This window comes from Homo sapiens, chromosome 9, assembly GCF_000001405.40.
Source record: "Homo sapiens chromosome 9, GRCh38.p14 Primary Assembly".
Classification (NCBI taxonomy): domain Eukaryota; kingdom Metazoa; phylum Chordata; class Mammalia; order Primates; family Hominidae; genus Homo; species Homo sapiens.
The window spans coordinates 92,008,650-92,023,082 of NC_000009.12; positions in this window are offsets into that span (position 1 = coordinate 92,008,650).

The following is a 14,433-nucleotide window of genomic DNA, read 5'->3' on the forward strand; positions in this document are numbered from 1 at the left end:
GTCATTTCGGTATGTTAAATGCCGGCATCTTTTCTGAAGAAAGATTCCAGCTAAGGGGGTGGTTTCCAGTCCTAACTTATTATGCTCAGTATAACTGGATACTGAATAGCAAATATTCTTTTTTTTTTTTTTTTTTTTTTTTTTGAGACAGAGTCTCACTCTGTTGCCAGGCTGGAGTGCAGTGGCGTGATCTCAGCTCACTGTAACCTCCACCTCCTGGGTTCAAGCGATTCTCCTGCCTCAGCCTCCCAAGTAGCTGGGACTACAGGCGCATGCCACCACACCTGGCTAATTTTTATATTTTTAGTAGAGATGGGGTTTCACCATGTTGGCCAGGATGGTCTTGATCTCTTGACCTCGTGATCCACCCGCCTCGGCCTCCCAAAGTGCTGGGATTACAGGTGTGAGCCACCATGCCTGGCCCTGAATAGCAAATATTCTTTTTGAAGAAGAGAAAAGGAGACCTCAGGGTGATTAGATAGATAAATAGATACATCAGACCGACAGACAGATGGATGAACAGATGAATGGACAGATAGACTGATGGGTCAATGAATGAAAGGATGGATAGGTGAGTGGGTGGGTGGATGTATGTATGTATGTATGGATGGATGGATGGATGGATGGATGGATGGACAGGTATAAGTAGATAGCAGTATCATCAGCTTTTGGAAAATAGTAACGTCTTTACTTCAGATTAGCAATCAACATGATATTTTCTCAGAAAGATGCAGCCTTAAACCCTAATAGATACTTGCCCAAGAATTCAGAGGTATGAGGCTCTGTCTTTTATTTTATTTTATTTTATTTTTTGAGACGGAGTCTCGTTCTGTCACCCAGACTGGAGTGCAGTGGTGCGATCTCGGCTCACTGCAACCTCTGCCTCCCAGGTTCACACAATTCTCCTGCCTCAGCCTCCAAAAAGTAGCTGGGATTACAGGCACATACCACCACGCCTGGCTAATTTTTTTGATATTTTTAGTAGAGACGGGGTTTCACTATGTTGGCCAGACTGGTCTCGAACTCCTGACCTCGTGATCTGCCCGCCTCGGCCTCCCAAAGTGCTGGGATTACAGGCGTGAGCCACCGTGCCCGGCCGAGGCTCTATCTTACAAATGGCTTAAGTATACTGAAATTGAAGTATGAAAACTTTGTTCATTCATTCATTTATTCATTCATTCATTCAACAAATCATTATAGAATGTCCACTCTGTACCAACGCCCAGCAATGACGCCTGTCACTATGGAACTTAATGGTTCATTCCCATTTTTATTTGTAAAGTCATAAATGACACTTCTAGTTCAAGAACAAGAAAGTATAGATGGCTTGCTGTGGTGGCTCATGCCTATAATCCCAGCACTTTGGGAGGCTGAAGTGAGCAGATCGTTTGTGGTCAGGAGTTCCAGACCAGCCTGGCCAACATTATGAAACCCTGTTTCTACCAAAAATACAAAAATTGAGGCTGGGCACAAAGGCTCACGCCTGTAATCCCAGCACTTTGGGAGGCCGAGGTGGGTGGATCACGAGGTCAGGAGATTGAGACTATCCTGGCCAACATGGTGAAACCCCGTCTCCACCAAAATACAAAAAATTAGCCAGGCATGGTGGCAGGTGCCTGTAGTCCCAGCTCCTCGGGAGGCTGAGGCAGGGGAATTGCTTGAACCCAGGGGGTGGAGGTTGCAGTCAGCTGAGGTCACACCACTGCACTCCAGCCTGGCGACAGAGCAAGACTCCGTCTCAAAAAAAAGAAAAAAAAAAAATTGGCGGGGCATAGTGGTGCATGCCTGTAATCCCAGCTACTCGGGAGGCTGAGGCAATAAGAATTGCTTAAACCCGGGAGGCAGAGGTTGCAGTGAGCCAAAATTGCGCCACTGCACTCCAGTCTGGGCGACAGAGTGAGACTCCATCTGAAAAAAAAAGAAAAGAAAACAACAACAAAAAAAAGAGAAAGTATAGATTCACTTTTTTCTCCTCTTACCCTCTAACACCTCTGAAAATAACAAAATACCCTGGAAATCATTCAACAGACAATGATAAAAGAATTCTGAGTGCTTGAGAGAAGAAGGTAGATAGGTTAGAGACCTTAAAACTTCAGAAATGACAACCTGGTGAGTTCCCTGGTTTTTCTTTTTATCTCCCATATGACCCCAGACTGGATGCCAGAGAGGCCTGAAACCTCCAATAGGCATAGACAAACAATCAGACAGACAAACAAAAGTCTGGCTGGAGAACTGGGTAAAGGGGAAGCACAACAGAGACCAAATGGGGAGCTCTAACTCCTGTTTCACAACTGGCCACAAACAGGTGGCCTGATTTTCCTCCAAAACCCTGCTGGGTTGACCCAATCCTTACTCCACACTTGGGTAATTGGTGAGTGGGCTAATCCATCCACAGGGGCAGCATTAGCAAAGCCCAGCATCTCCCTACCCTTTATCACAAAGGGCATATAATGCACATGAAGTGACACACAAAGATAAGCCCAGTGGCTTCAGCCCCTTTTAACTCCTATGGCAGAGGTTGGCCTAGGAACATCAGGTGATCCAGGAAAGTAACTTCCACTCCTTAAGGGAGCCCCAGCAGGAATTAAGTGAGAATTTCAAAAATGTCAGAAGAATGAGGCAAACCAGAATAGAACTGCAAGGGCTCTGAAAACTAAACTGTTGTTTAGTACATTTTCTGCTGATATAACAGAATACTTGAGGTATAACAGAATACTTAAGGCTGGGTAATTTATAAAGAAAAGAAAGTTATTTGGCTCACAGTTGTGGAGGCTCGGAAGTCCAAGATTGAGGGGCCACATCTGGTAAGGGCTTTCTTGCATGTCATCCCACGTCAGAAGGTAGAAAAGCAAGAGAATGTGTGTGAGAAAGCAAGAGATTAAACTTGCAGCCTCAAGTCCTTTTATAATTGACATTAATCCATTCATGATGGGACAGCCCTCATGACCCAAATGCCTCCCATTAGGCTCCGCCTCCCGACACTGTTTCATTTGGGATTAAATTCTCAACACACACTTTTTGGGGAACAAATTCAAAGCATAGCAGCTGTCATTGGAACTACAGCTCACAAAAATGGGCCAGAAGCTAGACTAAATTGGAAAAGGTTAACTGTCTGCTAAAACAGAAGATTTAAGTGGCATCAGCAGCCTCCTAATGTAACAACCAAAGTGCTCAGGATACAATAAAAATTCACTCATCATACCAAAAATCAGGAAAATCACACTTTCAATAATAAAAAGTCAATTGATGCTAATACTAAAATAAATACAACATGGAAATTATTCGACAAAGATTTTAAAACTTTTGCAATAAGAATGCTTCAACGAACAATTGTGATTCTCTTGAAACAAAAAATTAAAAATCTCAGCAAAGAAATAGAAGTTATAAAAAAAAGAACCATATGGAAATTTTAGAACTGAAAAATACAGTTGAAATAAAAAAATTCATTGGATAGACTCAATACTAGAGTAGACATGACAGGGAAACTTGAAAATAGATCAACAGAATTTATTCAATCTGGAAAATAGAGGAAAAACAGGCTGAAAAAGGTGAACAGAGCCACAGGGATCTGTGAGACAGATATCCAACTCTCTAAAGTATCTAACATTCATACAGAGTTCCACAAGGAAAAGAGAATAAGGTGGGACTGGGGCTAAGAAGAACTCAAAAAACTAATGGCTGACAACTTCCCAAATTTAGAAAGAGACATAAAACTACAGAATCAAGAAGCTCAGTGAAATGGAACTGGATAAACCCCAAGAAATCCACACAGAGACACATCATAAACTTCTGAAAAACTGAAGACAAAAAAATTTTAAAAACAGCTAGAGATAAACGATGCATTACCTATAGTGGAAGACCAACTTGAATGATGGTAGATTTTTAATCTGAAACCATCAAGGCCATATTTTTCAAGTGATGAAAAAAAATAACAAAAATAAAAAAGTAAAAATCAGCCAAATCAAAACCCCAACTATCAACAATGAATACTACATCTAACAAGCCATCTTTCAAAAATGAGGAGGAAATAAGACATTTTTAGATGGAAAAAACTATGAATTTGTTGCTAGCAGATTTAGTCTTTAGCTAAAGGATGGTCCCCAAACATAAAGAAAATGTTAGGTACTAAATTGTGTCTCCTCCACCCTCACCTTTATATATTGAAGTCCTAACCTCCTCCAATGTGACTGTATTTGTAAACAAGGCCCTTAAAGAGGTAATTAAGGTTAAATGAGGTCATAAGGGTGGGTTGCTAATCCACTAGGACTGGTGTCCCTATAAAAAGAGGCAGGCACACCAGCTGTGTATATACAGAGCAAAGGCCATGTAAGGACCCAGAAAGAAGATGGCCATCTGCAAGCCAAGGAGAGAGGCCCCAGGAGAAACCAAACCTGCCAACATCTTGGACTTCCAGCTTCTAGAACTGTGAGAAATAAATTTCTGTTGTTTAAGACAGTTGGCCTATGGTATTTTGTTATGGTAGCACTAGCAGACTAAGACAGACAAGCGCAATAGATGAATGATTGGACCTTCAGAAAGGAAAGAATAATGGAATAGGAAAATAGAAAGGTAAGCATAATAGACTACACTTCACTTATGGAGTTTCTTTAACCATACTTTGTGTTTGAAGCCACAATTATAACACTGTTCAGTATGGCACTCGATGTATGTAAACACTTCATATAATTATATTTAAAATGTTGGAAAAGTAAAGAGATCTACATGGAAGCAAGGTTTCTTAACTTCACTCAAAGGGGTACTGACATCAGTAGGCTATAGTAAATTACATATATATGTGGTAATACCTAGAACAATCACTAACAAAACTGTAGAAAGTAGTACACTAAGAAATATTATAAATAAAAAGGAATCTAATTCCAATGAATGTTTAAGTAACTCACAAGAAAGCAAGGGAAAAATACCAGAGGAATAAGAAACAAAGGAGACAAACAGAAAACAAATAATAAAATGGCAGACTTAAGCCTTAGCATATGAATGATTAATTTAAATATAAGTGGTATACATATACCAATTCAAAGATTGTCACATTGGATACCACAGGACTTAATTATATGTGTCTATGAACCAAAGATGTAAAAAATAACAAAATAGGTAGGAAACAAAAAATGGAAAAAGATATACTATGCAAACATAAATGAGAAAAAAGCAGGAGTGACTATATTAATGTCACATAAACTTCAGAGCAAATAACATTATTAGAAACAAAAAGAGAATTACATAATAATTAAGAATTAATCCTCCAGGATAAAGCAATCCTAATTATGTATGCAACACACAACAGTGTTTCAAAATATATGGAGTAAAATCCAATAGAGATGAAAAGAGAAATAAATTCAAAATTATAGTTGGGGAATTCAAAACTCAGTTTGAAGCAATTGATAGCACTACTAGAGATAAAATTAGCAAGGATATGGAAGAATAGACAGCACCATTAACTGACTCACATTTATAGACTACTCCATCAAACAACAGCAGAATACATATTCTATTCAAATGCTCATGGAACATTCATCATAAAGACTCTATCCTAGGTCATACAATAAACCTTAACCAATTTAAAAAGACTGAAATCATGCAGAATATATTCTCTTAACCATAATTGAATTCAACTGGAAATCAATAACTTAAAGACAACAGAAAAAAATCTCCAAACACTTGGAAATTAAATAATACACTTCTAAGTAATCTATGGGTCAAAGCAGTCTCAAAGGATATTGAAAAATAAAAACAAAATGGACATAAATGAAACTAAAAACACAGCTTATCAAAATTTGTGGGTTTCAGCTAATGCAATGTTGAGAGGGATATTCATAGCACTTAAATGCTTACATTAGAAAAGAGAAAATATATCAATTGATAACCTAAGTTCTAGCTCAAGAGACTGGAAAAAGAAGAGAAAAAAATGAAATAAACAAAACAAAGCAAGCAGCAGAAGGAACAAAATAATAAAGCAGAAATCAATAAAACTGAATACATGAAGATAAAATTAATAAGGCAAAAAACCTCATTTGTCAAAAAAAAATAAAATTGATAAACCTCTAGTAATATTGACAAAGATAAAAAAGAAGATACAAATAATCCCCAATGTCAAAAGGAAAGTATATCAACATATCCTGCAGCCATTAAAATAACAAGTAAATAATATAAACAACTCTATGCTCATAAAATTGACAAAATTTGGGCTTCTGTTCAATGAGACAGGTAATAAATAAATGACAAATATCTGACAGTGCAATTGCCTAAAACCTATAAGGGGTTACTACCCAGCATAAACTAGGAACTCTTATAAGAATGAACGCACAAAAGGCAGTAATTTGGATAGCAAAATGGGGAAAGGAAATATATAAAATAGTTACAAAATAGGAGATCCTAATTACTGCTGAAGGTTGATAAATCAGAAAATAAGGGCATCATATCATTCAGGCAAATGTTTGGTTTTTCAGTAGAATTAAAGAGAACATGGTTTAAGTAGTTCCCTCTTGAGAGTGTGGCTGAAGGTGGTGACACTTGTGGTGGAAATCTTCCAATTCAATTTGATTTTTAAACCATATGCGTGTATTAGTTTGCTGGGTTTTTATGTTAAAAAAAAGGAATAAAGGTCAAATTGCTTCATCTACATCTTTCAAAAAATTAAAGGAAATATCTCACTTAAGAGTCGCCTAGACAATTATATTTATACTTAGCAAGTTATATAAAAATTAAAAATTTTAAATATAATTCCCAAAATGATGGCAACGTATTATTCACAAAATAGGGGTCAAATAGGTAAAGATAGATGTTTATTTGACAAATAAAACACAGGTATAAATAAAGTAAATCTTATATAGCAATTAAATATATCCCATTTTACTCTACAAAACATTTTTAGTAGGTTACAAGAATATAAAAATACATTAAATAAAAAAATAGATTGAGAATGAAGCAGTTAGGGAATGCAAAAATGAAGAAGAATGCATAAAAATATAAACTAATAAATATTTAATTTCTAAAGTACTTTATAGTACTTCCAAGCATTTTCCTTTTCTAATACAGATTCATTTTTTTTTCTAAAAATAAAATGAGTATATTATTGAATTTTCAAGTTAACACCAGAAAATTATAAAGAATCTAGCATTTCTCAACATTCTGGCATCTAGAAATAATTACTATTAACATTAGCTGAACATCACTCCAGACACATTATTTTGGGTATATGTATCTAACACAGATAGACAGCTAACATACATACACACTCAACAAACAGAAAGAGCACCATGAAAATGAGATCTTGCTTAAGAAAGCAGTGTGGGCCGGGCACGGTGGCTCACGCCTGTAATCCCAGCACTTTGGGAGGCCGAGGCGGGCAGATCATGAGGTCAGGAGATCGAGGCCATCCTGGCTAACACGGTGAAACCCCGTCTCTACTAAAAAAAAAAAAAAAAAAAAAATTAGCCAGACGTGGTGGCAGGCACCTGTAGTCCCAGCTACTTGGGAGGCTGAGGCAGGAGAATGGCTTGAACCTGGGAGGTGGAGCTTGCAGTGAGCCGAAATCGCGCCACTGCACTCCAGCCTGGGCGACAGAGCGAGACTCTGTCTCAAAAAAAAAAAAAAAAAAAAAGAGAGAAAGCAGTGTGATTTCGTGGTCAGGAGCACAAACACTGCAGCCAAACTGTCTGGGCTGTACCCAGAGTCTACCTCTTATGGGCTATGTGCCCATGGGCTAGTCCCCTCACCTCTCTGTGCCTCAACGTCCTCAGCCATAAAATGTGGATGCTAGTAGCATCCACCTCACAGGATTTTGGGGAAGATTAAATGAGTTAACACATAAAAAGTGCTTGGAATGGCATAGGGAACATTGCGAGCCTTCAGTCTAGGAATGTTGTTTTCCGGTGTGATTTCCAGTAGCCTGAAGGCACCAAGAGGAGCAGGAAGGAAAGGCTATCCTGGATCTAGGCTCTGTACACTGGAGATTTTGTCAGATGTTCTAAGCAGAATTTCATCCATCATCCGAGGAGGTGTTCTCCCCGGGGTCACAGGCTGCTTCCCATGACTTCTGGAGGTTTGAGAACAGCATGTCTCTTGCCTCCTCCAGAGGCTTCTGCAGGAGTGATGCATGGCAGATGGCTGGGGGAGAACATTTTCATTTCTTCACTGGCTTTTACCTCTATTTCCATCCACTCCCTTTCATTTCATTAGATGTGCAGCATCACTGCAGTGCATTTCTTTTTTTTCTTTCTTTTTTTTTTTTTGAGATGGAGTCTCACTCTGTCGCCAGGCTGGAGTGCAGTGGCGCGATCTCAGCTCACTGCAAACTCCACCTCCCAGGTTCAAGCGATTCTCCTGCCTCAGCCTCTTGAATAGCTGGGACTACAGGCGTGCACCACCATGCCCAGCTAATTTTTGTATTTTTAGTAGAGACAGGGTTTCACTACGTTGGTCCGGCTGGTCTCGAACTCCCGACCTCAGGTGATCCGCCCGCCTTGGCCTCCCAAAGTGCTGGGATTACAGGCGTGAGCCACCGTGCCGGGCCAGCAGTGCAATTCTTTAAAACTCTGCCAGCCCATCACACCCATGGCATCATTTGGTGTCAGAATCACCCTGTGAGGTAGGCAGAACCCGTACAACCGTTGTGTATTATTCATGAGAAATCCAGCTATCTAGAGGTAAAGCCAATTGCTCAAGCAAGAGTGGAAGTCTTATAAGCTCTCTGCTGTTGTAGACATCCATTGATGACATTTATGTTGAACAAGCATCGGATAGGGATGGGTCATATACTGATGTTGGGGGGCAAAGTGAACAAAGCATAGTCTCTGAGGACTTTCTAGCTGAGCAGATTTAAAAGCAGCTTCCAGCAACACAGCTGGCTGGAGCATTTCGATCTCATCAGGTGGTTTGTTAACAGAAAGGACCGACACCCATCAGCAGGTGTGAAGGAAAAATGGCTGCAGACACAGCCAGACCAATTTTATAACATAATAAGCTGATTCTAGAGTTCTGGAAGAGAAAAAGTGTGAATGTAAGAATGCCTGAGAATCTTTTGAAAAAGAGAACAATAGGAGACTTGCCCTACCAGATACAAAAACATATTAGAAACCTACAATAGCTGGAAAGTTTTAGTATTTATTGGTCAAGAGACAGACAAGCAGCTCACCAACCAGCTGTGAATACACGGGGAGCACTGGACATTGCTGGGAGAAAGGATGACTTCTTTATAATTCAGGAGTAGGGACAATTTTCTAAGCAAGGCACAACTTCCAGGCCATAGGCCGGGTGCAGTGGCTCATGCCTGTAATCCCTGCACTTTGGGAGGCTGAGGCAGGTGGATCACCTGAGGTCAGGAGTTTGAAACCAGCCTGGCCAACATGGTGAAACCCCATCTCTACTGAAAATACAAAAATTAGCCGAATATGGTGGTGGGTGCCTGTAGTCCCACCTACTTGGGAGGCTGAGGCAGAAGAATCACTTGAACCCTGGAGATGGAGGTTGTAGTGAGCAGAGATCACACCATTGCACTCCAGCCTGGGCGACAGAGAGAGATTCCATCTCAAAAACAAAAACAAAAACAAAAACAAAAACAAAAACAAAAAACCTTCCAGGCCACAATGAAAGAGATTGGCAGATTTGACAAGACAAATATTTGAAACAAGAGACAACAAATTCAATAACAGAAAGAAAAAATGTTTGGAATAAAGATGACTTACAAAATATTTGTTGGCCGGGCACGGTGGCTCCCAGCACTTTGGGAGGCCAAGGTAGGTGGATCACCTGAGGTTGGGAGTTCAAGACCAGCCTGGCCAACATGGAGAAACGTGGTCTCTACTACAAATACAAAAATTAGCCAGGCGTGGTGGCACATGCCTGTAATCCCAGCTACTTGGGAGGCTGAGGTAGGAGAATCGCTTGAAACCGGGAGGTGGAGGTTGCAGTGAGCTGAGATCATGCCACTGCACTCCAGCCTGGGCAACAAGAGAGAAACTCCTTCTGAAAAAAAAAAAATGTTGGTATCTATCAAAGGCTTTGGAAGCCCTTTGACTCAGCCATTCCAATTCTAGGAATCCATACCCCAGAAACACCTGCAGATCTACGTAACGTTACAGGATCAAGGATGTTCATTTCAGCATTGTTTGTAATAGGGAAAAAAAAGAAACTTAAATGTCTATGAAAAGAAAATGGGTCAAATAAATTGTACTACATCCAAACTACAGAATACTCTGCAAGAATAAAAGGGAATGGGCTGGGTGCGACGGCTCACGCTTGTAATCCCCACACTTTGGGAGGCCGAGGCAGGTGGATCACGAGATCAGGAGTTTGAGACCAGCCTGACCAACATGGTGAAACTCCATCTCTACTAAAAATATGAAAATTAGCCGGGCATGGTGGCGCACACCTGTAATCCAAGCTACTCAGGAGGCTGAGGCAGGAGAATCGCTTGAACCCAGGAGGCAGAGATTGCAGTGAGCCGAGATTGAGTCTCTGCATTCCAGCCTGGGTGACGTAGTGAATGAAGTAATGCTATGGAAATGTTCCTACATTAAATCAGAACAACAAAATTGCTCTATTTATGTTTTGTAAAAAGCAATTTGAATACAGGTACATATGTAAACGTTTAGAAACCATTCTCGGAGGATAGCCAACAAACTGTTAAGAGAGTTACCTCTGGAGAAGGGAGTAAAATTGGGTGAAAACAGGATTTTCAAGATTTATTCTTCAGGCCTCCTTACTGTTTGGATGTTTAATACGAATGTATACCACTTGTGTAATGTAAACAACGTACACAACAGAAGCAAGGCTTCTTGTCTCTAGAAACAACAAATAAGGAGCTCCCAGGCCCGTGTTAAGTGATAGAGTTAGATGAAACACACACCCTGAGCCAGGAGGGCCACACAGGCACCAGGTGAGGAGAAACAGACGAGGAACAATGGACAGCGCACAGTTACTGACCCCTGGTCGTGCTCAGCTCCAGGCAGAGATTGTGGGCATCCGCACCAGGGCAAAACAAGGGTTTTGTCTTCACTTGAACAAAAGAAATCAAGAGTTTTGAAAAGGTCAATGCGACAGCCATTAGGACTGTATCTTCCAAAGATCTGGAGGCTGTGGAAATGAGAGGCTGAGATGCACACTGCTGCTCAGTCCTGTTCCAACCCAGTGTCCACTCAGAAACCTTCCCAGGACTCTCCCACGAGGCCCTGCACTGAGGAGGGGGCAGGGGACTTCTTCCTGAGGAGGGCCCTCAGGCTTGTGTGTGTGGAGGGCAGCCTCACACTCAATTTATTCGCTCTGAGCTTGCGGGCTGAGGTAAGGCTAAGCTGCAGATAGGACTCTTTGTCACCTGGAAGGGTTGGGAAAGCCCACAGACAACACCAGCCTCCCAGACTCTCACTTCTGGAGGCATGGTCTCCGTGCTGGGATGCTTTTAGTGATCTGAACAGAGTTCTCTTTCACTTGTTAACTTTCTTAACAGGGTGGGAGGTGCAGAGGTCGATGAGGAATTTACTGCCAGGATATCTGGATTTCTGTGTAAGAGCCAGGAAGCTGGTTCTAAAGCTGTGCATGTGAATTAATAGGGACAGAAATATTCCTTTCTCTAAAGCAGGGGTATCCAACCCCCAGGACGTGGACTGGTTGGTACCAGTCCCTGGCCTGTTAGGATCTGTGCCGCACAGGAGGAGGTGAGTGAGAGCCAGCCAGCATTACCACCTGAGCTCTGCCTCCTGTTACATCAGTGGGGGCATCAGATTCTCATAGGAGCGCGAACTCTATTCTGAACTATGCATGTGAGGGCTCTAGGTTGCGCATTCCTTATGAGAATCTAATGCTTGATGACCTGGGGTGGAACAGTTTTATCCCAAAACCCTCAACTCCCCGCGTCCCCCACTCCCGGGCCAAAAAAGTTGGGGACCGCTGCGCTAGAGGATGAACAGCAGGAAACGCAGCTGCAAAGAAATCGCTTCAAAGCCATTAATTAGGGAAGGGATAATATTGAATTTTGGGGGACAGAGACACTCCAAGGATAAATAACAAGAGTTCCAGGAATGGAATGCAACGTTTGAAGCTTTTGGTTTGCACACCTTGGTCAAAAAGAACACTGGCACCATGGCTCACACCTGTAATCCCAGTGCTTTGGGAGGCCCAGGCAGGAGAATCACTTGAGGCTAGGAGTTCAAGACCAGCCTAGGCAACATACCAAGACCCCATTTCTCTAAAAAATGTTAAATGTTACCCAGATGTGGTGGTGCACGCCTACTCAGGAGGCTGAAGTGGGAGGATTGGGAGTTCGAGGCTGTGGTGAGCTATGATCGCACTATGCACTTCAGCCTGGGTGACAGCATTAGCCATCTCTAAAAACAAAAACTAACTGGTTAGTGTGGACAAGAACAAAAGGGATTTTGCACTTTTCTAGAGGGAGGTATGTGTAGTAATTTCTCAGTGACTGAGGTGTGTCTGGAGCCAAGTAGAGTTTCCCAATCTGGCCTGGGGAAAATGCTATGAGAAGAGGAGGATTTGACAGTCCTGAAAAATACAGTTCTCCAGTGCAACCCCCTATTTTGTAGGTGAGGATGTGTTCAGCGAAGATCATGTCCCCAGACTCGTGGCTAGGACTAGACTGGGATAGAGCTCTGTGTTGTAAAACTTGCCTCTTGCTGCCTCCTTGCTCTCAGTGTGGCATCTTGCCTCTGTGCGTAGACATGCCACCTGTCCCACATCACAGACTTCTTTCTAAATGTTTGTTATGGGCAGCCCAGATAAGAAACTCTTTGCTATAATGACAGAAAGAAAGTTGATTCATTAACACCTCTGTTTATTGTCCAAGGCTGGGCTTGCACTTGACTCAATGGGTTTTAGTATATTCACAGAGTTGGACAGCCATCACCATGACCATTTTTACAACATCTCCATTACCCCAGAAAGATCCCTCCAGCTGGTTTTGTCAATCCCATTTTCACTGCTAGCTGTGGCCAACTACAAAACCTATCTTCTGTCTCTTTCAATTTGAGTTTTTTTTTTTTTTTTTGAGACGGAGTTTTGCTCTTGTTGCCCAGGCTGGAGTTGCCCAGGCTGGAGTGCAATGGTGCAATCTCAGCTCACTGCAACCTCCACCTCCTGGGGTCAAGTGATTCTCCTGCCTCAGCCTCACAAGTAGCTGGGATTACAGGCACGCACCACCACGCCTAGCTAATTTTGTGTTTTTAGCAGAGACGGGGGTTTTCTTCATGTTGGTCAGGCTGGTCTCAAACTCCCAACCTCAGGTGATCCACCCACCTCGGCCTCCCAAAGTGCTGGGATTATCAGGCATGAGTCACTGCGGTCGGCCTCAATTTGCTTTTTCTGGACATTGAATATATATAGAATCATACACTATGTGGTCTGGTCTATTGCATCTGGTTTCTTTCAGTTAGAATGTTTTTGAGATTCATTCATGTTGAAACATTTTGTCCATAGTTCATTTCCTTTTTTGCTGAATTATATTCCATTGTGTGGACATACCACACTCTGTTTATTCATTCACAAGTTGATAGGTGGTGTGGTTTGGCTGTATCCCAACCCAAATCTCATCATGTAGTTTCTCTAATCCCCACGTGTTGTGGGAGGGACCCAGTGGGAGGTAACTGAATCATGCTGCTGTTCTCATGATAGTGAGTGAGTTCTCATGAGATCTGATGATTTCATAAGGGACTTTTTCCCTTTGCTTGGCACTTCTCCTTCCTGCCACCATGTGAAGAAGGACATGTTTGCTTCCCCTTCTACCATGATTGTAAGTTTCCTGAGGCCTGCCCAGCCATGTTGAAGTGTGAGTCAACTAAACCTGTTTTCTTTATAAGTTACCCAGTCTCAGGTATTTCTTCATAGCAGTGTGAGAACAAGCTAATACAGTAGGCATTTGGACAGATTCCAGTTTTTCACCATCATAAATAATGCTGCTGTTAGCATTTGTTTACAAGTTTTTGCATAAACATATGTTTTTGTTTCTCTTGGGAGCAGAATTGCTAGGCCATATTGCCTTAGTCTGTTTGGGCTGCTATAACAAATACTGTAGACTGGGTGGCTTATAAACAAGATCTTTATTTCTCACTGTTTTGAGGGCTGGAAAGATGAAGATCAAGGTGCCAGCAGGTTTGGTGTCTGATGAGGTCTTGCTTTCTCATAGATTATGCCTTGTTGCTCTGTCCTCACATAGTGGAAGAGGCCATTGGATTTCCTTGGGCTTTTTAGGGACATTAATTCCATTCATGAGGGCTCCACCCTTGTGATCTAATCACTTCCCAAAGGCCTTGACCTTTACTAGTATTATATTGGGGAATAGGTTTCAACATAGAAATTTCAGGGGAACACAAACATTTAGACTATAGCACATGACACATTTGTAAACTTTTTAAAGAAACTGCCACATTGTTTTCCAAAGTGATAACACCATTTTACATTTCTACCAGCCAT